The following is a 21,135-nucleotide window of genomic DNA, read 5'->3' as shown; positions in this document are numbered from 1 at the left end:
CTGGATGTGTCCCGTGCCGAGCAGGCTTTTTCCTGCAGATTTGCCCCGCCCCCCCATCAACATTTTGCTGCCAAGAGAAGCTAGTAACCAAAAACAAAACAACTGGGAGGAGGGGCGGGAGAGGAAGAAAAGTTGTGCCCTGGTGGCTTGTCCCTCCCCGGCTTTGATCCCCTTTGATGTACAGGGAGGTGCCCCGGCCGGGGGTCTGGGGCCACGTCGGGGGCTAGGTCGGGAGGGCTCCCTCGGGCTGGCCGCTGCCCAGCGCTGGCGGGGCTCAGCAGGCCGCCGAGGTGCCGCATTCCCCGCCCGGTGCCCCGCGTTCCTGCAGTTCCCGCCCGGAGCCCGCGCAGGCGGCTGCTCCAAAGTGTTTTCTTTCAGCCTTAAAATCCGGAGGGAGCTTCCTTCCTCCCCACCTCGTAGCGCCAGGCTCTGCGGGCGGGGAGACGTTAAGCGGACAGGAATGGGCCCAGGGCGGGCTCGGAACGACGTCCCCTACCCCACCCCCGCCGCGATTAGGATCTGCGCTCTGGCTGATCGCCCCCTCCCCCTTTTCCTGCATTTACAGGCAAGTGAACCGGAGCAAACGACTTCCGATCCAGTCTGCGCTGTTGCGGCTCCCGTTTGGGATTTGATTTGCAGCATCTTTGAGCCTCTACGACAAAAAACCGCGAAGCACGCCCAGCCCTCCCCCGGCACCCCGAAAAGCACCCACTCCCTCCCGGGGACACAGCTGGGCGCGTCCACACCCCCGCAGCCCCACACCATGTTGTGCGGAAGGACTTCCACTCCCCGCCTGTGTCGTTGATGTCAGACCCCAGGCCAGCCTCCGGGCGCTGCAGTTCTCCCGGCTAATGCTGAGGCTGCGGCTCCGGCTCTAGCACAGGCACCAGCCGCCGCCGCACCCGGCCTCAGCGCCCACCGTCTGCATGTGCCCGCCGTAGCCGTCTGCCCAGCCCGCAGCCCGCGCTCCACGGAGCGCTGGAGACCACCGTGGGGGGCCCCTTCTGCCCTCGAGAGAAGCGGTCTTGGAGGTATTGATTTAGGTGGTTGGATTTTTTCCGTGGATCTATCAATTCACAATTCGAATTTGGAAGAAAGAAGGAAAACATGACGTCTCCAGCCAAATTCAAAAAGGATAAGGAGATCATAGCAGAGTACGATACTCAGGTCAAAGGTAAGGGTTTTGAAAAATAGCACACTGCAAATGCTCTGTGGACTGGTGAGGCGTGTATTTCCACCGTGATTTGCAGGTTGTTCATTTCTTTGGGTGGAGCAGATGGGGGCAGGCTGACCCCAGAGGTGGTTTCATAGATGGGTCTGAACCTCCAAAGGATGGGCAATGCCAGGGGGCCATTGACACTGGAAAGGAATTTTTGCAGTGGGCTGTAGGAGTATCTTTGTGGGGCTGACCATGATTTTGGCAGCCCTTTCCCCCCAAGCCGGGCAGGGTGGGGGGAGGGGCAGGAGGCTCTTAGAGAAAGGCAGTTTGCCTCCGGTTCTCTGGGTCAGGTTTCCTTGAAAGACAACTGAAATCTGACAGGTGTTTGGACATTTGTTTCAGAGATTGAAGAGGAGTCCAGACAGAAAGGCAACCTTGGGAAGGTGTACCATTTGGAGAGCCTTGGGAGAGGCGGGGTTTTTTGGATGCACTATATTAAAACATGAGATTTGCAATGGCATTGGCACCAAAAGTCCATTGCCACCTTGGGTGTACCTTGTACCTGCCTGGTCTCTGGTCGGCCTGCATACAATCAGAGATCAGAGAATAAGGCCACCCACGCCCGGTCTCCGCCCTCACCTAAATCTGAATAGAGTTGGGAGGATGTTAGGGTAGCCGGTTGGTGCTGATTCTGGAAAATGGGAAGACATAATTGTTTAACCCTTCTGTGCTGTGGCCCTCTGCTCCGGAAGACATGCTTTTAAAGCCCCATTTCCCTCTCCTGAAAAATGTGAAGGGTAAAGCAAAGTGTGGACTAGGAGAAACCAAGTGACCTGTCTTCTCATCTAGTCGACTGACTTGACTCATGAATAAGAGCCCTTACTCAGATAGCGTTTTTTAAACCAGCAATTCCCATAGGAAGGGTTCCTGCCTGTTAAAGAGCTGCAGCATGTGTTTGTGCAAGGCACTGTCCTTTCCTGGTCAGTCACTGGAAAGAGCCATGTGGCTCCAGCCCATTGAGACCTTAGCTGGGGAGTGGAAGAGGTGGGTGGCCTTGAATGTTACACCACATGGTTGGAGCTCTGGGTTTTCCTTTGTTTCAGAGTACAGAGGGAGGGGCCCCTCCTTTCCCTGCACCAGTGCAAGGAGACCTTTTCCTATCAGAGAGGACTTGGGAAGGGCCATGGCTCCCCTCTAATGATTGCTGGGGGGTGGGGGTAGGCGTAGAGTTTGAAATGGGCAGCTCCCTTATCTCTTGGAAGGTTGGAAGGTAGTCTGAAGTCCTCATTGTACCTACAGGATCTTTTTTATGTCATTAGTTTGGTCAGTGCTGGAGGTGCCCTAAGGGGCCTTCTATCCACTTGGCTGCAAATATTGGTAGGTTTATTACAGAGATGGGGGAGTTGACTGATTGATAGCTTCAGTTGAACTGGGATTGAGAGAGGTGTGGTTGTGAGTTATTATTGAGGTCTTGGCCTCTTGTCACTGTTCATAATCCAGGCCTGTTTTTGTAAACAATAGGCCACTGGCCTCCATGTCCTGTCCAGATGCATTGCATTTGCTCTTGGAATCCCCCCTGCAGTTTTAACCAGATATGTCTTTTTTTTTTTTTTTTTTTTTTAACACATCCTATTCTTAAACTGTTGCCATCGGGAGTGTTAATAACTTTGATCTTCCCAGATTTCTCTCCAGAAGCACGCCATTTGACTAAGGTGCAAAGTGACTTTAAATGTTTAATTTTTGGAAGGTTCAAGGCTGATAGGTGTTAATAGAACCATATCTGCCAATTTCTTATTGGCAAAGGATTTCTCAAGAGTGTCTCAAAATTAAACACTTTGGATATTTACAAACATTGCTCATTGAGATGAGGTAATGCAGTCGGCTATTTGGGTTCTCTCTTCAACCTTGCCACAAACAGACTATTTTGCTTTGCTCTGATATTTTCCCATTGATACTATTCAGGATCATAGAATTTTATAGGTGGCTGAGCATGATGTCTTACTCCGAGAAGGTGCCTGATGAATGCTTATGGAACTGATTTGAATAGTTTAGTCCTTCATTTTACAGCTGAGGAGAATACAGAGAACTGAAGAGGCTTGTCCAAGGTCACACGGCTAGATGGTGGCAGATCTGAAACTAGAAGCAGATTTACCAACTCTCAATTCTCTATTCTGTATCTTTACTATGAAACATCATCTGACCAGGGTGGAAAAAAATAAAAAATTCTTAAGGAGCCCAAATCTGTCAATGAATAATGATAGTAATAATGATAATGATAATAGATTACATTTTGGTTGCTCATTATGTTCCAGTCCATCCCAAGTGCTTTAAATGAATGGTCTGGTTTAATCCTTACCTCAACCCAGGGAATGGGTATTATTGTCACCTTCCATTCACCATATAAGGAAACTGAGGCTTAGAGAGGATGAGAAGCCCTTCCAAGGTCACACAGCCAAACCATGGCAGCTTGACTTCATTCCTTTATTCATTAACTATTTATTGAGTGCTTGCTGTGTGTTCTGGCGATTGGCCATACAGCTGTGAAGAAGAAAAAGTCTCTACCCTCGTGGAGCTTATATTCTGGAAGCTGGGCTCTCTATGGAACAGCACAGAATTTGGAGACAAAGGGCCTGCGATCTGGTTTGGCTCTGCCCCCCACTAGCTAGAAGCCCTGGGTCAGAATTATTATGAGTGTCAGCTTTTTGTGTGTTATATGGGACTCATGGTGCTGCCAGACTTCTCTTACAGATGCCAAGATAAAAAGAAAATTGCTGTAACAGCTATGCAGTTTGGTTTGGTTGTTAAGTGCAATTTTTAGAGTCAAAGTGATTCAGGTTTAAATCTTGGTTCTGCCAGTAGATAGCCTTTCACTTCAGGCAAGTTACATGACTTGTCTGAGCCTCAGTTTCCTTATTTGGAAAATGGGTAAAATAAAATACATTTCCTAAGATAGTAGTGAGTTGTTGATGAGATATATAAATTATTTAGAACAGTATCTTGCACTTGTAAGTGCTCAATAATGGTACGGTCTACTTCTCTGTGAGCCTTTCTTTTGCTGAATTGGGCTGACTATTGAGGCTGCATTGCATATTCACTCCCAAAGTGCCAGCTATTAAATGATAGGAAATAAGTAAGGAATGAAACTTAAGTTCTAGCTTAAGATCATTTAGTCGTAACAAAACATCTTGGGTCAGTCACTTAAACCCTCTGGACATCAGTTTCTTTTTCTGTCAGTGAACAAGTAAACTAATTATTGGCCACTGTGGTTCGGCCTGTCTTTGACCAGAGTCCCAGGTCCTGTTTTTTCAATCAGAATTGTTTGAGTCAAATGGACTCTAAATGGGACCCTCATCTCATGGGACTTTCTGGGACCCTACCTATCCCTTGATTTTTGCCTCCCTATAAACCACCTGCTTGCATGTGCCCTGAGGAACTCCTGAGGCTTCAGCCCCAACCCTACCCCAGAGTGGTTTTATGAGGGGTGTGCCTCCTTAGTCAGCCTGCCTTGTAGTGTCTTCTTAAAAACCATCATTGTTTCAGGTTTGTGGGTGCCCACATTCCTTGGAAAGTTCATGCCTCTCAATGTCTGACTTGAAAGCAATAATATTCTTAGTCTTTTTACATAGCTCTTTCCAATTTACATTATGCTTTTATATGTAGTTGTCCGTCAGTATCCTCAGGGGATTGGTTCAAGGACTACCCCCACTTCCCTCAGGATACCAAAATCTGCAGATGCTCAAGTCCCTGATAAATAATGGTGTGGTATTTACGTATAACCTATGTACACACATCCTTCTGTATACTTTAAATCATCTCTAGATTACTTATAATACCTAATACAGTGTAAATGCTATGTAAATAGTTGTTATACTGCTTTTAAAATTTGTATTATTTTAAATTGTTGTATTGGTATTTTTATTGTTTTTTTTTTTTTCTTGAATATTTTCCATTCCCATTTGGTTGAATCTGCAGATATGGAACCTGCAGGTATGGGGAGGGCTGATGTACATTAATCTCTGGAAATTCTTTACAACCCTGGTCAGATTCATGGTCATAAACTGAAGCCTTTGGCCTCTAGCCTGTTAGCTTGTTGCTGGGATTGGAGCAGCGAAGGTGGTAAGGTGCAGGGCATGGTTACCAGGGTTGTGAATCTGGGTGGTATTTGGGTGAATACACATGACTGTATACAGTCCCAGCTATTGTTCTTTCCTTATTTAAGGCCCCTTTCCTTTACCCTCTCTATACCTTGAGTTTTTACAGTCTCCCAGAAAGCTTGAGATTGACAGTTCATGCAAATATTCCAGAAGAAATAGTCTGAAACAGGGTGGCACTGTATGCTGAGCAGTCACATTTTCTTTCTCGAGAACATTAGGGGTCTTGTCTTTTTTTTTTTTTTAATGTCTTAGGAGAACAGTGTGTGTGCACCACAGAGCTGGAAGCGAAATTTTGTAATTTCCATCTGGAGCATTTTGATAGAAAAAGTGCAGGCCTTTGCTTGGAACAGTTTAACCCTTTCAGGACCCTTCAAGAGCAGGAGATGAAATTTAAAACTGGAGTCGTATTGTGTATGTATATATACTTGGGAATGTTGATGGCTGGTATATAAACAAGCTCTTTCCCTTGGGAGGTCTGAGCAATTTTTCATTCATGCCAACAAAGGTCTTCTCCAAAGCTTCTTTCCTCACAGCTCCCATTCCCCAAGGGAGCTTTAAATATAATCAGTTAATCAGTTTTAAATATAATCAGTTAAATATAGTCAGTTTGAAAAGCTGCAGTAAAACATTTAGTTGGAATCCTCAAGCAGATGCTATCATTTTCCTGCAAGATGATTGAGGGCTCCTGTCCCTTGCTCAGGGGAAAAAACAGCAACAAAAAAAGCTACTCTGCAGCAGTAAGGTGAACTCCTGGAAGAAAATGAAACTCTTGGAAACTTTCAAGTACCATACTCTGCATCTTGCAATTGAAAGACCCTAGAGGAAGGTGGTAGGCAAGGAGCCAGGGGATGCAGTGTACTGTGCAAAGAAGCAGTAGTTGGAAACAGTGTTCATGAGGGGTCCTTAGCTTTTTCAATTTCAGGTGTTCTTGGGGAATGAGAACAGAAATTTCCTTTGAAGAAGCCTATCTGGTAATTGTGGCCACATCCGTTATGTATCATGCAGGTTGAAAACTTAGACAGGCTCTGATGATTTCTCTGCTATGAGGTGTCCAGAGATGGACCTGGCTGCAGTATGTAGGCGCCCTCACTATTAAAATCAGCAGGTACCCAGACCCTGACTCCCATTATTCACTCCAGATAAACTGGGCTACCCAGTGGCACCTGTAGAGTTGTCCTTCCAGAAGTGAGAATGCTTCATGGGAATTGTGCTTACCTTATACCCTTGACCTCTGACAGCTACATTAGGAAAATATGTCATATTGCAGGGAAAAAGCAGTTGATATGTAGATTTCTGGTAGTAATAAAATTAGCAGTTTTAACCTGGTGTCAGCTCCAGAATTGACTTTTTGGGGAATCTGGGAAAGTTGCCTTGGAAGTTGTTAGGTTTAAACATAAGTAATAACAGCACTTAAAATCATTTTAAAAAATTACAAAATTAACACCCTTACTGATTTTACAATAATGTGTAGGAACTCTCATATCTCCCTTACTCTCTGTAATTGTGGTAGAATACACAGGAGGTTGACCATCTTAACCATTCTAGAGTACAGTTCAGTAGCATTAAGTACATTCACATTGTTGTGCAGCCATCACTACCATCCATCTAAATGACTCTTTTCATCTTGCAAAACTGAAACTTTATACCCATTAAACAACAGCTCCCTATTCCCTCCTGCCCCTGTCTCTGGCAAGCACCATTGTACTTTGTCTCTATTTGATAACTCCAGATACTGCAGGTAAGTGGAATCATATTGTATATATTTTTTGTTACTGGCTTATTTCACTTCCTATAATGTCCTCAAAGTTCATCCATGTTGTAGCATATGTCCAAATTTCTTTCTTTTTTAAGGTTGAATAATATTTAATTGTATGTATATACCCCATTTTGTTTACCCATTCGTTCATTGATGAACACTTGGGTTGTTTCCACCTTTTGCCTATTTTGAATAATGCTGCTGTGAACATAGGTGTAACATAGGGGTGTTCTTTTTTCTTTTTTTTTTTTTTTTTTTCAGATGGGGTCTCACTCTGTCACCCAGGCTGGATTGCAGTGGCTTGATCACGGCTCACTGCAGCCTTGACCTCCTGGGCTCAAGTGATCCTCCCACCTCAGCCTCCGAAGTAGCTGGGGCTATAGGCACATGCCACCACACCCAGCTAGTTTTAAAATTTTTTGTAGAGATGAAGTCTCCCTACATTGCCCAGGCTGGTTATTTTTTTTTTAAAAGGTACACTATACCAAAGTTTTACAAGCCTGTATATACATTTCTATATAATCACTTGTCCTGATAAATTTTTTAAATTTAAGGTTTTAATATGTGCATTAGCTTGTATATTAGTATATTATTAATTATAAAGTTGTACACCTTTTAATAATTACATGAATTACTAAACTTTTACCATATTTTTAATAGCTTTATTGAGATTTAATTGACATTTAATAAATTGCACATATTTAAGGTATACAATTTGATAGGCTTTGACATATATAATACCCATGAAACCAGCACAATCAAGATAGTGAATGTAATCATTACCCCCAAAGTTTCTTCATTATAATGTATTAATAAACCAGTACTATTGGCCAGGCACAGTGGCTCATATCTGTAATTCCAGCACTTTGGGAGGCCAAGGTGGGAGGATTGCTTGAGCCCAGGAGTTCAAGACCAAACTGGGAAACATAGTGGGACCCCATCTTTGCAAGAAAAAAAAACAAAAAACAAAAACCTGGCTGGGCACGGTGGCTTACGCCTGTAATCCCAGGATTTTGGGAGGTGGGCAGATCACCTGAGGTCAGGAGTTTAAGACCAGCCTGGCCAATATGGTGAAACTCTGTCTCTACTAAAAATAAAAAAATTAGCCGGGTGTGGTGGCAGGCACCTGTAATCCCAGCTATACGGGAGGCTGAGGCACAAGAATCACTTGAACCTGGGAGGCAGAGGTTGCAATGAGCTGAGATCTCGCCATTGCACTGCAGCCTGGGCAACAAGAGCGAGACTCCATTTCAAAAAAAAATTATCTGGGTGTGATGGCACATACCTGTAGTCCTAGGCTCTCTTAGGATGATGAAGCAGGAGAATTGCTTGAGCCCAGGAGTTCGAGATTGCAGGGAGCCATGATTGATTGCACCATTGCAGTCTAGCCTAGGTGATAGAGCTAATAATTATGTTATAGAAGAGGCATTAACTTCAAGATAACTAAGTGAAAGCCTGGTATTAACAAATTTTAAAAAGTAACAAATAAATAATGATCTAAGCTACCCAGATTAGTTTCTGGAAAATTTGTTTAACCAAGACAATCTCCAAGGGAAGTCAGGCTAATAATTGTGTCTCAGCCATTACTCTGCTTTTAGGAGGGAAGGTACAGGATGGAGTGAGAAAGAAAAGAAAAAAAATCATGGCCATGTTAGGAGTGGACAAATGACAGTGTCTGTTTCCATATAGAGTTGGCTTGGCTGGGTGTGGTGGCTTACATCTGTAATCCCAGCACTTTGAGAGGCCGAGGCAGATGGATCACCTGAGGTCAGGAGTTCGAGACCAGCCTGGCCAACATGGCAAAACCTCATCTCTACAAAAATACAAAAATTAGCTGGGCGTGGTGGTGGGTGCCTGTAATCCCAGCTACTCAGGAGGCTGAGGGAGGAGAATCGCTTGAATCCAAGAGGCAGAGGTTGCAGTGAGCCGAGATCATGCCACTGCACTCTAGCCTGGGTGACAGAGCAAGCCTCCATCTCAAAAACAAAAAACAAGCAAATGAAAAAATAGATCTGGCCTGAACTAGTCCTAGGGCCTCATGCCTTTTTAGAAGGGGTCACAAATAAGCCAGATGTCAAGGAGAGGGGCTAGGGGCTCCCACTGGAGATCTACTCAGAATGTTCTTAATATGGCTTCTTTCTTCTAATGATTGACTCCCTATTGCCTGCTAAATACAGACCAACTTTCTAAGGTAGACATGAACTTCATTCTCAATCTGACTGCAACCTATTGTTTCGACCACATTTCTTATTTTGCTTTAAGAGGACTGGAAGCCTAACTTGACTGCTTACCATTCTTTAAACAGACTACTAGCTAACATTTGCTGTCTGTTGGATGTTTACCACTTACTAAGCATTATGCTAAATACTTTATATAGATTATTCCATAATCCTTACTCCAACTTTAGGAAAAAGATGTTACTAGTATCCCATTTTACTGATGAAAAAAGTGAGGTGTAGGACATTCAGTTATTTCTCCAGGGTCTGCAGCTGGTGAATAATGGAATAGGAACCTTGGTTGTCGCCAGAGTCTAAGTTCTACGTGTTGCTCATGAAATGCCCCTTTTTCGCTGCGCAGTCCCGTATCTTCACCTATTGAAATCTCATCCTTCTGCTGGGGGCAGTGGATCACCTGAGGTCGGGAGTTCGAGACCAGCCTGACCAACATGGTGAAACGCTGTCTCTACTTACAATGTAGAATTAGCTGAGGGTGGTGGCACTTGCCCGTAATCCCAGCTACTTGGGAGGCTGAGGCAGGAGAATGGCTGGAACCCAGGAGTTGGAGGTTGCTGTGAGCCGAGATCGTGCCCTTGCACTCCAGCCTGGGCAACAAGAGTGAAACTCCATCTCAAAAAAAAAAAAAAAAAAAGAAAAGAAAGAAAGAAATCTCACCTTTCTGGTAAAGCCCAACGTTTCTGGGATTCCTTCCTTAATTGCTCTGACCAGAAATAACCCTTCTCTCTATTTCACCCACATAGTGCTTCTCTTAATAGATCTCATATGGCATTGATCTCATACTGCCTTATGTTTGGAATATTTGTATTTCATTCTTTTTTCTTCTACCAGACTTCTGAATGTAGGAATGTTTTGAAGTTGTGTAGTGCAATGCAAAGAATACAGGCTCTGGAACCAGCCCTCAGTTGGAGTCTTGTCAGCATCACCTCCTTGCTGTGTGACCTTGCTGAAGTCACTCAACTTCTCTTCCAAGCCTCCTTTTCTGTGATGTGGAGATAATGAGACCTGCCTTGCTATTAATTGCAGTTGTGTTAAGAGTACTGGCTCAGTGTATGGCAAATATTAAATGCTAAATAAATAGCTTATTATAAGGTCCCTTCAGATAGGAAACGTGTCTGGAAGACTATTGTAGCTCAAATGGTGGCTCTCAGTAAACACTTACTGTCTGTAGTACTGAATGAATGGATGACCTAACTACTACAAATAATCTTTTAGAAATAGTTTAATTGTATCTTGACACTGTATCTTGCACAATGTCACCAGAGTGATTTTTAAAAACTCATTTTTTTTTTGCTAACATCGTAGCATAAAAGACTGTTAATATTAATCACTTCCCACTTACCCTGCTTACATTTTATACTGCCTTACAGCTGAACTGCCTCTAGTTTCCTTTCTTTATCATGTTGTGTCATGGTTTGTGCTGTATCCATGCTGTGCCCTCTCTTTGGAATGGGTCCTCTTCCTTGAACCTGTAAAACTTATTCAACCTTTAAAGCAGCTCAGATGCCACCCCTCCAGGAAGCCTTCCCTGCTCCCCTGTGCGGGATCCCAAGCAGGATTCCTCAGCATCTCCCCTTGCCTTCTGTACAGAGTTCATCAGTACGCTCTCAGCATCTCCTCTGCAGTGTCTTTGTACACTCTTGTATTATTGCACTCATCATATTACATTGCGATCTCTTCATTTACATCTCTTTGTTTACAACTCACTGAGCACCTTCAGGAAAGAATGGTCTTTTATTCATTTCTGCATGTCCAGCTCCTGACACATAGTAAGCACTACAATGTTTATAAGTTGAATTGAACTGTCTTCTGAGTTGAGTTTGGATGTGATAGTGCCATGATGGCACGCTTCTGCATTTCTCCCCGACTCCAGTAAGAAACCCATGCCCTATGTTAATATTATTTGAAATTTGATATAGATTAAACTTTGTGAATATATTTGCATTATACAAGGACAAGTACAAACTACATAGCCTTATGGATCCTCCCCCACGGGGGTGTGTTTCTCCTTAAATTTATTGCTGGCACAGCCCTCTTTAGAATCACTGCCCTCTTTAGAGTCACTGCCCTAGAGCTATACTTGCTTTGACCAAATTTCTTCAGTCACATCTCTCACCTTGGAAACCAAGAAAAATGTTAACACTGAAATTCCCGAGAGTTTAAAACAAACATAAGGCTTTCTGTAATTGAAGCAAAAACACATTGTACATTTGTCTAGGATTTATTCACCATTTTAATCAGGCACTAAAAGTCTAAGTTTGAGAAAGTTTGTCTGTCTTGACCTGGAGTTAAAACTGGGTTGACCTGAAAAAGGAACTGTTTTGTTCCTTTTTCAAAGCACGGTGTGGAGAGAGCTATTGCCTGGTTAGAAGCAGCTGTGAGATCTTTGGTAAATGGGGAAGGAGAGGTCCTAAGGAACAAGCAGGAAAATGGTCCCTTATGGTTTTTCAAGTCATTTGGTATGAAATACCCTTGACCTTATTTATACGTTGTGAATGAATGGTTCTGAACTTGAAATATGTATTCGTGAGGAAGGAAAAACAGTTGGGGCATGTTCCTCCATTTTGGTGTATATTTTAGGATATCATCCTTTAGGAAGAAGGCATATTCTCTTTGTTTTTTTTGTTTGTTTGTTTGTTTGTTTGTTTGTTTTTCTTAACCATATCTTCTAAATGCATTAATCAGTGGAGAGGTGACCCAGAAATCACTGTGAAAGTTGGGACCTTATCTTTGCTGTTTGAGCCCAGATCTTGCATTTAGAATCATGGCATGGTGGGCAGGATCTGAATACTCTCCCTGGAGAAGATGACCCTGGCAGCCATGGGTGGCTGGGTGGCCAGGGCTCCACAGGAGGACAAAGCACAGAAAACAAAGGGACTTAAGAGCATGAGCTGGCCATGACAAGCCATGCCATAAGCTTTAAGAAATATGTCTTGTTTCTGAAGAGTTGGCTGTTGCCAACTCTTCTCCAAACATTGAAATCCCTTAGAAATCTGCTTCCTTTCCCCATTAGATTTTGTGTGTGTGTGTGTTTATTATTTTGGTAGGCGGTGGAGATACTGCACCAGAGCTTGTCAGATGAGTAAGCTGCTCTTTGGGAAGACATCTTGACTGAGGTACCTATTCTGGAGCAACATTTCTTTTGGGCCAATACAGTACTTTGTTACGCGTTGAGCTACAGGATTCTACACAGGCAGAATGATCCTAAGGGAAAGTGCTGGATTGGGAGGCAGAAAGCTTGGGTTCTAGTTTAGCTTTGTCATTGGCTGCCATGATTTTGGAGATAACTCACCTAAGGTCTCAAAATCCCTAGTTTCCCTATAAAATCCCTGTAAGATGGGAACAACAATTCTTGGCCCTTATAATAATGATGGTGATGATGGTTAGCGTTTATCAAGTGCTTCTTATGTCTCAGCTCTGTTTTAGGTGCTTTACATATATGAACTCATGAATTTCTCAACAGTCCTGTGAGGTAGCTGCTATTATTATCCCCATTTTACAGATGACGCACAGTGAGGTTAAATAACTTGCTCTGAAGCACATGGCTAGTAAGTGATGAGGACAGATTATGAACCTAAGCTGACTTAACACTGGTGTGAAGCTGAAATGAAAGAATTCAGTTGAAACTATGAGATGCTGTACACACTCAGTTGATTGTCCTCATTTCCTAGTAACTTGGTACAATAAAGAATTAATGCAGTGTTTTAAATGTCTTTCTGTTACATACCTACTGTACCTCCCTATGCCTTGGTATTCTCATCTAAAATACTAGGGGTTAAACATTAGAAACTTTCTAAGGTCCTTCCAGCTTTCAGGGTTCATTATTTTTGCTTATTAATACGTTGAAGATCGGCCTGGCTGGGTGCCTCAAGCCTGTAATCCCAGCACTTTGGGAGGCCGAGGCAGGCGGATCACCTAAGGTCAGGAGTTCAAGACCAGCCTGGCCAACATGGTGAAACCCTGTCTCTATTAAAAATACAAAAGTTAGCTGGGCATGGTGGCGGGCGCCTGTAATTTATCTTAGCTACTTGGGAGCCTGAGGCAGGAGAATTGCTTGAACCTGGGATGCGGAGGTTGCAGTGAGCCCAGATCGCACCATTGCACTCCAGCCTAGGTGACAGAGCAAGACTCCGTCTCAAAAACAAACAACAAAAAAGATGTTGAAGATGATGATTTGTCCCTTTTAAGTAGACACACTTTGAAGTACAAAAACCATTATATTCTCTGAATGACATTCTTTCCACCCCCAGAACTTGCCATGCCTGCATGGCTGCTGCACACTTATGGAGGGTAGGCCCCAGGTGGTAGGTAGTACCAGAGTGGCAGCTGGCCTGGAGAGCAGTTGAAGTGATACTTGTTGAAGTATCACGATCTAGTAGGAAGATGTGCCTCACAGCTGGAGAAAAATCGAGGGGAGAGAGAGTTACTTGATGGGCCTACAGGTGAACTTGTGACTGGATCACTTTAATCAGGATGTTTTAATCAGGATAACTATTAAACTTTGGACTTCCAGTAAGCTCAGAGACTTCTAGAGTTAGAAGATTCCCTGCTGTAACTGGTTTGTATGGTTTTCCCCATCCATGTTGGTAGGTCAGAAATGGAATTTGTGTAACTCTTAGTATTACAGATATTTATGTTGTTGTGTGCAGTACTTAAATTTAAAAGAAAAAGGAAGTTGATTGATTGTCCTTAATGAAAATTAAAGAAATAAGGAAGTGGGAGGCTCGTAATCTCTGACATCTGGTCTGGGACAAACCTGGGGGAGGCAGTGTGGTTATGGAACTGGTATAGGGTTGATCTAGACATCTGGGTTGTTCGGGAAGTGACTTCAGGCTCTTTTAGGATGTGGAGTGGCCTCTTGCCTCTTACATTGCTCTTTATGTATTAGGCCTTTTGTCAACTAAGGATTTCTTTGAGGATTGTGATGAAGCATGCTGTAATGTGGAATTGAAATGTTTTCATGTTTATGTTTGTTTTCCTTTCGCCTAATGAATAGGCTAGTAATAGTCTGTTGTTTTAAATGAGTACTATTAATAATAATGACAGCTCATATTTTTATCATTACAGCATTTAAAAAATATCATTCATAGGGAGGAAGAAATGTAGGGTAATGGAGGACCAGCTATGTAATGTTGAAGATGTCATTCCACCTTTGGGATTCTCAGCTTCTCAGCTGGAAAGTGGAAAGATGGATTACTAGTTCCTAGCTTCATGATTTTTAGGACATATGAACAAAAAATGGCTATTGTTAAGTGAGTTGTCACATAGAGTCTAGATGTTGATTATTGTCCTGGGGGAAGGATAGAAACCAGAGAATAGATAGCACAGGTTCTTCCTACTCCCCTCTTCTACTTCTGGTTTAAGGTTTCATCTTTTTTTTTTTTTCTTTGTTTTCTTCTTAAAGGTTTCATCTTTAAATGACATTAATTAGGCTTTGTGTTTTTAGCCATTTTTAGAGTCCGTTGTGCTGTATCTCCTGATCTCTCTTTTTCAGTGATTTGTGGTTATGTAAGTTATCTCAGTTCTTTGCTGTCAGCAATTTTAAATCAAACATTGAAGCATTTTGGGTAGATGACGTGTTACTTTGATTAATGAGGTTCTTGATCTGGATATTTTAAGGCCAGTAACAACACAATATGGAAACACCTAATTCTCCTTAAAACTGCAATAGTGTTCTCACTGCCAAAGCTGAAACCGATTTGTGCTGGTTACTTCTTTCTAAGAGTGAATGTGTGCGTATGAGCTTTCTTTTGCTGTTTTGGCCAGGGAGTGGGACTGCCAGTCCAGAAAGGCCAGCTCTTCTGGATTCAGTAGCAAAAGAGTTAATCATTAAGCAGAGACAGAAACCTCCCAAGTTTCTAACCTTCTCTTGCGTTAAATCTCCTTACTCTTATTAGAAGAAAAGGCATATGCACACTTATGCATGCGCGTGTGCACGCACGCACACAAACACCATACACACAAATACTCTAACAAAACTTAATGTAAAATGATCTCATGTTTATGAGAGCTGGAATTACTTGGGAGGGATACTTGTGTTCTGCAGGCTTAGTGGGCACGATGTGAAAGCAAGGCTATTTGGCCTGTGGAGATTGAAGATAAGAGCGTGATATGTAATTGAGTAAGAATTTGAAAAATTATCCGATAACGTTAGGAGCAGCAAAGCAACTGCTTGTACTTTTTTATGCTTGAAACTATTTGGAGTAGGAGTGAGGAGCTAGCATTGTTTTCAGGGCATGGGAACCCCCTCCCCACCTCACTAGCCAAATATGTTTGCCTGGGCCGAGAGTGTCAGATCTCTGAGAGATCTTGACAGAGTATTTAAATACATTCTGCCCTCGGACAATTCTTCAGTGTTAATCATTTCAGGAAAAGGGCTGTCAGCTAACCTTTAAAATCCTTTCCAGAATAGTATACCACAGCCCACCTTTCCATCTTGTTCCAGTGACCCAATCTATAAATGGTCAGTTCCTTCATTTGCAGAACTTGAAATAGTTTAAAGAAGAGACTTGATGAATTGAACTCATGTTTTTGCTGCTGTGGCCACACCCTCTATACAGACATTTGCTTCATTTGGGTTCTCAGCAACTTGGGAAGGAGGAGGCTATTGATGAAACTTTCAAGGCGTTGGCTTATAGCTACTGGAGTGTTCTTCTTTCCTGTCCCCTCCCCTCCTCACTTCCTCCAGTGTTGGGACACTTTGTATTGAACAAGAAGATCATGAGCTAATTTCAACCTGGCAGCCATTTATTTAGCACCTACTGTATGTTGTCTTTTTTTTTTTTTTGAGGCAGAGTCTTGCTCTGTCACTCAGGCTGGAGTGCAGTGATGTTATCTTGGCTCACTGCAACCTCCGACTCCCGGATTCAAGTGATTCTCCTGCCTCAGCCTCCTGAGTAGCTGGGATTACAGGCACGTGCCACCACGCCTGGCTAATTTTTAAATTTTTAGTAGAGACAGGGTTTCACCATGTTGTTCAGGCTGGTCTCGAACTCCTGACCTCATGATCCGCCTGCCTCAGCCTCCCAAAGTGCTGGGATTATAGGCGAGAGCCACCGTACCTGGCCTATATGTTTTATACTATGCTAAGCTGTGGGCATAGAGAGATACAGAAAAAAGTTTCTGCCTTCAAGGAGCTGCAGTCTATTAGAAATGTCTTAGTCCGTTTTCTGTTGATTATAACACAATGCCTGAAACTGGGTAATTTGCAAAGAAACAATTTTTTTTTTCCGGTTCTGGAGGCTGGGAAGTCCAAGATTGAGGGCTGAATCTGGTGAGGGCCTTCTTGCTGATGGGAACTCTCCACAGAGTCCCAAGGTGGCGTAGGATATCACATAGAGAGGGAGCTGAGTGTGTAAACTTGCCAGCTCGGGTCCCTCTTCCTCTTCTTAAAAAGCCACTAGTTTCACTGCCAAGATAACCCATTAATCTATTAATCCATTCATGATGACATGCCTTCATGATCCAGTCACCTCTTGAAGGCCCCACCATGGGGATTAAGTTTCAACATGAGTTTTGGAGGGGACATTCAAACAATAGCAAGAGGGGTGATCGGATTACACAAGTACAGTGATAGGGTCATAGTAGAGAGATATCGAAGGCTCTGTGGATAAGGAATAGTCTAACAGTGAGTAATGCTGATGAGACTGGTTGATAGAGGAAGATGATGATGTTACCTAGTATTTACAGGGCACAAGGCAGTCAAAGTGCCTTGCCATACTTTATCTCATTTAACCTCAGAATTGTACAACACAGGGCAGGATGATATCCGGCCTTTTTTTTTTTCTTTTTTTTAATATTTTATTTTGAGATAATTATGCATTCACATGCAGTTGTAAGAAATAATGCAGAGAGATTGCACATACCTGTTACTTAGATTCCTCTGATGGTTAACATCTTGCAAAACTATAACACAGTATCATAATCAGGACCTTGACATTGATACAGTCAAAATTCTAAACAGTTCCATCACTGCAAGGATCACTCATGTTGTCCTTTTCTAGTCCTGCCCCTCCCAGTTCACTCTTTCATCTCACCCCACTTTAGTCCTTAGTCCTTAACTGCTGGCAACCACTAATCTCTTGTCCATGTTTATAATATTGTCATTTCAAGAATATTATAAAAACGGAACCATTAGCATGTAGCTTTTTAGGATTGGCCTTTTTTTTTCACTCAGCACAAGTGTCTGAAGACTCATTCAGGTTGTTGTGCATATCAATAGTGTATCCCTTTTTATTGCTGAGCAGTATTCTATGGTATGAATGTATGATGGTTCGGACATATGGGTTGTTTCCTATTTTAGGCTGTTATGAATGAAGCTGCTCTGAACATTCATTATAGATTTTTGTGTATACAGGTATTTTTTAGAAAATAGAGATAAGCCAGGCATGGTGATGTGTACCTATAGTCCCAGCTACTCTGGAGGCTGAGGCAGGAGAATCTCTTGAGCCCAGGGGTTCAAGATGAGCCTGGGCAACATTTTGGAGATCCTGTCTACAAAAAAAAAAAGATGGAGGTAGTTTTTTGTAATGGCAAGATTGTACATTAGAAGATAGAAAAGTAGGTTTTGCATCTTACTAGGGAAGATACATGTATATTTCTCTCCCTTTGGACTGATCATTTAAGTTGTTTCAATTTCCTTATCAAGAAACTGGCATAATATATGTTCTGCCTACATCCCAGGGTGGTTGTATAGATAAACTGAGATAATATATGGCCTCCTCCCAAGTAACTGGGATTATAGGTGCGTGCCACCACGCTGGGCCAATTTTTGTATTTTCAGTAGAGACGGGGTTTCACTGTGTTGGCCAGGCTGGTCTTGAACTCCTGACCTCAAGTGATCTTCCCACCTTGGCCTCCCAAAGTGCTGGGATTACAGGTGTGAGCCACCGTGCCCGGCCTCAGAGTAGTTCTTAAATTGCAATCTAGAGACAACTCTTTTAGGCCATCTTGCTTTTTCTAATAATTGATGTGTAGATGTTCCTTTTATATTCTGTTTACTCATTGTTGACGATTATAGGTTGCAATACCTGCTCCCAGATTTAGTTTATCATCTTACTTTTAATTGAATTATTTGATATATAAGAAATTCCAAGTCCAAGCATGGTGGCTAACACCTGCAATCCCAGCACTTTGGGAGGCCATGGTGGGAGGATCACTTGAGTCCAGGAGTTTGAGACCAGCTGAAGCAACATATTAAGACTCTGTCTCTACCAAAAATACAAATAAGTTAGCTGGGCATGGTGATGCACTCCTATAATCCCAGCTACTCAGGAGGCTGAGGTGGGAGGATCACTTGAGCTCTAGAGGCCAAGGCTGCAGTGAGCCGTGATCATGCCTCTGCACCCTAGTCTGGGTGACAGAAGGAGACCCTGTCTCAAAAAAAAAAAAAAAAAGAAAGAAATTCCAAATTTAATATAGTCAAATTTACTTTTTGTTAAAGAAATTAATTTTCTTTACTGTTTTGATTTATTTAAAAGACAAACACACACAATCATAAGGATATTCTTCTATATTTTCACCTACACATTTTGCCTTTCACATAACGTCTTGAATAAACAAGGAGTAAATTTTCGTGAACAGCGTGAGGTAGGGATCTAACTTTATTTTATATTCCATGTGGCTATATTTATTAAAGGGTTCATCTTTTTCCCCATTGATTTGTAATGTCTCATTTGTACATACATTAAGTTTATTATACATATTTGTGGGCAAGATGAGTTCTCCATCATGCTGTAGCGGTGCTGCCGCTGGATGTGCATCAGGGGTTGCTGATGAGGGAGTCAAATATTTTCCCCTTTGAGGTAGCAGCACTAGGCTGTCCCCACAGCTCCAACCAGAATAGCTCTGCTTTTATGTTCACGATATTGGGTGTCCCGCTAAGATTTTATTTGAATAACTTTTTAGATGGAACAATTTTAAAAGTTAAAAACTACCATTTTTAAACAAATTACATTTTGGATCGTTTTTTGAGATAGCAAGGGTTTCGTCTCTCATCTTGGGTTGGATGAAAAGTGTAAGACAACACAGAACTCAGAACCTAGCAGCGAGGGAAGTGCCTGTTTTTCAAAGGGAAAGGAATGTGTTATTTTGCAGTTGTCAGTAGTTCCAAATATATCAACTATTCCACAAAATAATGAGTATGTAGTTTCCGTGAGAGACTTAGAACTGTCTAGAGCCTAGTCCTTATTGTCTGTGATCATAGAAACCATGGAGAAAAAAAGCCTACCTATACGAAAGTAGTTAAAAAAAAAAATAACCCACAGCAATACAAGAAATGACATCAGCCAGCAGATGACTGAAAATGAGTGGTGTTGATAAGAACTTGAGGAATTTTGAGATGGGAGAGGTGTGGGCCAGAATGAATAAGACCTTGATTTATGGACTAGGATTTGGCTAAGTCGATAGTAGGAGGAAAGAACAGAGGCAGTGTGTCTTCCCTCAGTGGAGTTCCCACAGCCCCCACCGTGCTTACCGCTCCTGCATCACTTCCTACACCCTAATACAATGATGGTTTTATCCACCCTCACCCCCACCCCCACGCTCCTTCCCCCAGACTACACTCACTACCAGAAAGCTTGTGAGTTCTTTGAGGGTGGGCAGTGGGCAGCCTGTCATTTCAACATTCCCAGCCTCCTGCACCATGTTTGCATGTGGTAGGCACCCAATAAATGTGTGCTGAGTGAGGGAGTAGACTCTTGGGCTGGAGCAGAGGAGTTATAGACAGAGGAGTAAGATCGAACTGGATAGTTTTTGATGACCTTGAAGATCAGCCAGAGTCTGGCTTCATACTGGGGCAACAAAGAACAGTGGGGGCACTCTGAGTTGAAGAGTGATGAAGTGTGATGAAGTCATTTCAGAGGGACTCCCTGGTTGCTCTGAGTTGCCTGGCTGGGGGCAAGAGGCTTGTTCCTGCCCACACAGCATACCAGGCCTTGTGGTGGGTGCTGCAAACATGCTGTTAAATGTGATCAATTACTGGAGTCACCTGTGAGGGAATTGCGAGTCCCCATTTACTGAACAAGAAATTTGAGTCAGGCAGATGATCCGAGGTGATGGTGACCCATGATGGAATGGGGACTGCAGCTCAGGTCTGTCCAACTCTAAAGCCTGCTGGTTCTTTTATCTTGGATCTTATGTTTGACCACACTGTAATCAGGAGATACCACTAAGATGGGAAGATGAGCTGCCGAGATGGGTGTGGGGCCTAGGGGTGAAGTAAGAGTCAGGAATGCCTGAGGTTTTTAGTTTGGGAGACAGGGAGAACGATGGTGGCAATGGCAGAAATAGACATATGGAAGCCAGGAAGAGGTGCAGCAGTTGGTGAGAGAATGAGCATTATTTTAGATACCCTGAGTTTGAGATGACAGTTCCATTCAAGCAGGAATTTCATTAGGCAAGTGACAATGCCACCCCCATCCGCCTTTCATTAAATCTGTCATTTTCTTTTCTTCTAAATTGGGAATGTTGCAGAGAAACTGTGAAATAGATGACACCCCTCTTACGTGCCAAATACCTGACCTCCTTTTGCAGCTTCTTACCTTTCACTTTCAGAAATATTCTCCCTTGAAGGGGCTTCGTGTTTGTGTGCAGGAATTAATAGCATTTTCTATCCCTGTGCCCTGTAGGGAAAGAGCACAGCTAAACAAGGAGAGAGAAAACTGGAGTTCTGAGCTGCCTTGCTCCGAGTTTGGTTGGAGGCCCCTTATGAGGGTCAGCTGGGAATGAAAGAAAAGTCAAGTCAAGCCCTGCCAGCACCCTCCACCACCTGACCTCCCATGGGTGACTGAAGAGCCAGCTAATGAACAAGTTCTTTTAAAGGCAGCCTGGGGA

The 21,135-nt window shown here is 43.0% G+C and overlaps 1 protein-coding gene across 9 annotated transcripts in view, besides 1 other annotated feature; it reads left to right on the top strand.

Annotated features, from left to right (window-relative positions):
• The window catches only part of SRGAP2B (SLIT-ROBO Rho GTPase activating protein 2B), a 208,093-nt gene that overhangs the window by 1,372 nt on the left and 185,586 nt on the right, over positions 1-21,135 (top strand). For all 9 annotated transcript variants that reach the window (XM_005277421.5, NM_001385227.1, NM_001366280.2 and 6 more), the window contains exon 2: positions 566-1,174. Coding sequence is in view for 6 of the 9 variants with exons in the window: in NM_001385227.1 (NP_001372156.1) it covers positions 1,108-1,174 (67 nt within the window). In the remaining 3 variants the exon portion in view is untranslated. The remainder of the gene's footprint in view (positions 1-565; positions 1,175-21,135) is intronic.
• Positions 19,710-20,210: an enhancer, noted in NCBI's record as "H3K27ac hESC enhancer chr1:143934844-143935344 (GRCh37/hg19 assembly coordinates)". NCBI's record gives its function as "activates a minimal SCP1, AML or CMV promoter by ChIP-STARR-seq in primed H9 embryonic stem cells {active_cell/tissue: H9 hESC(primed)}" and the evidence as "EXISTENCE:reporter gene assay evidence [ECO:0000049][PMID:30033119]".

The sequence above is a fragment of the Homo sapiens genome, chromosome 1, assembly GCF_000001405.40.
Source record: "Homo sapiens chromosome 1, GRCh38.p14 Primary Assembly".
In the NCBI taxonomy this organism is placed as follows: Eukaryota; Metazoa; Chordata; class Mammalia; order Primates; family Hominidae; genus Homo; species Homo sapiens.
Note: the sequence above shows the minus strand (reverse complement) of the source record. Positions and strands in the feature narration are given on the sequence as shown.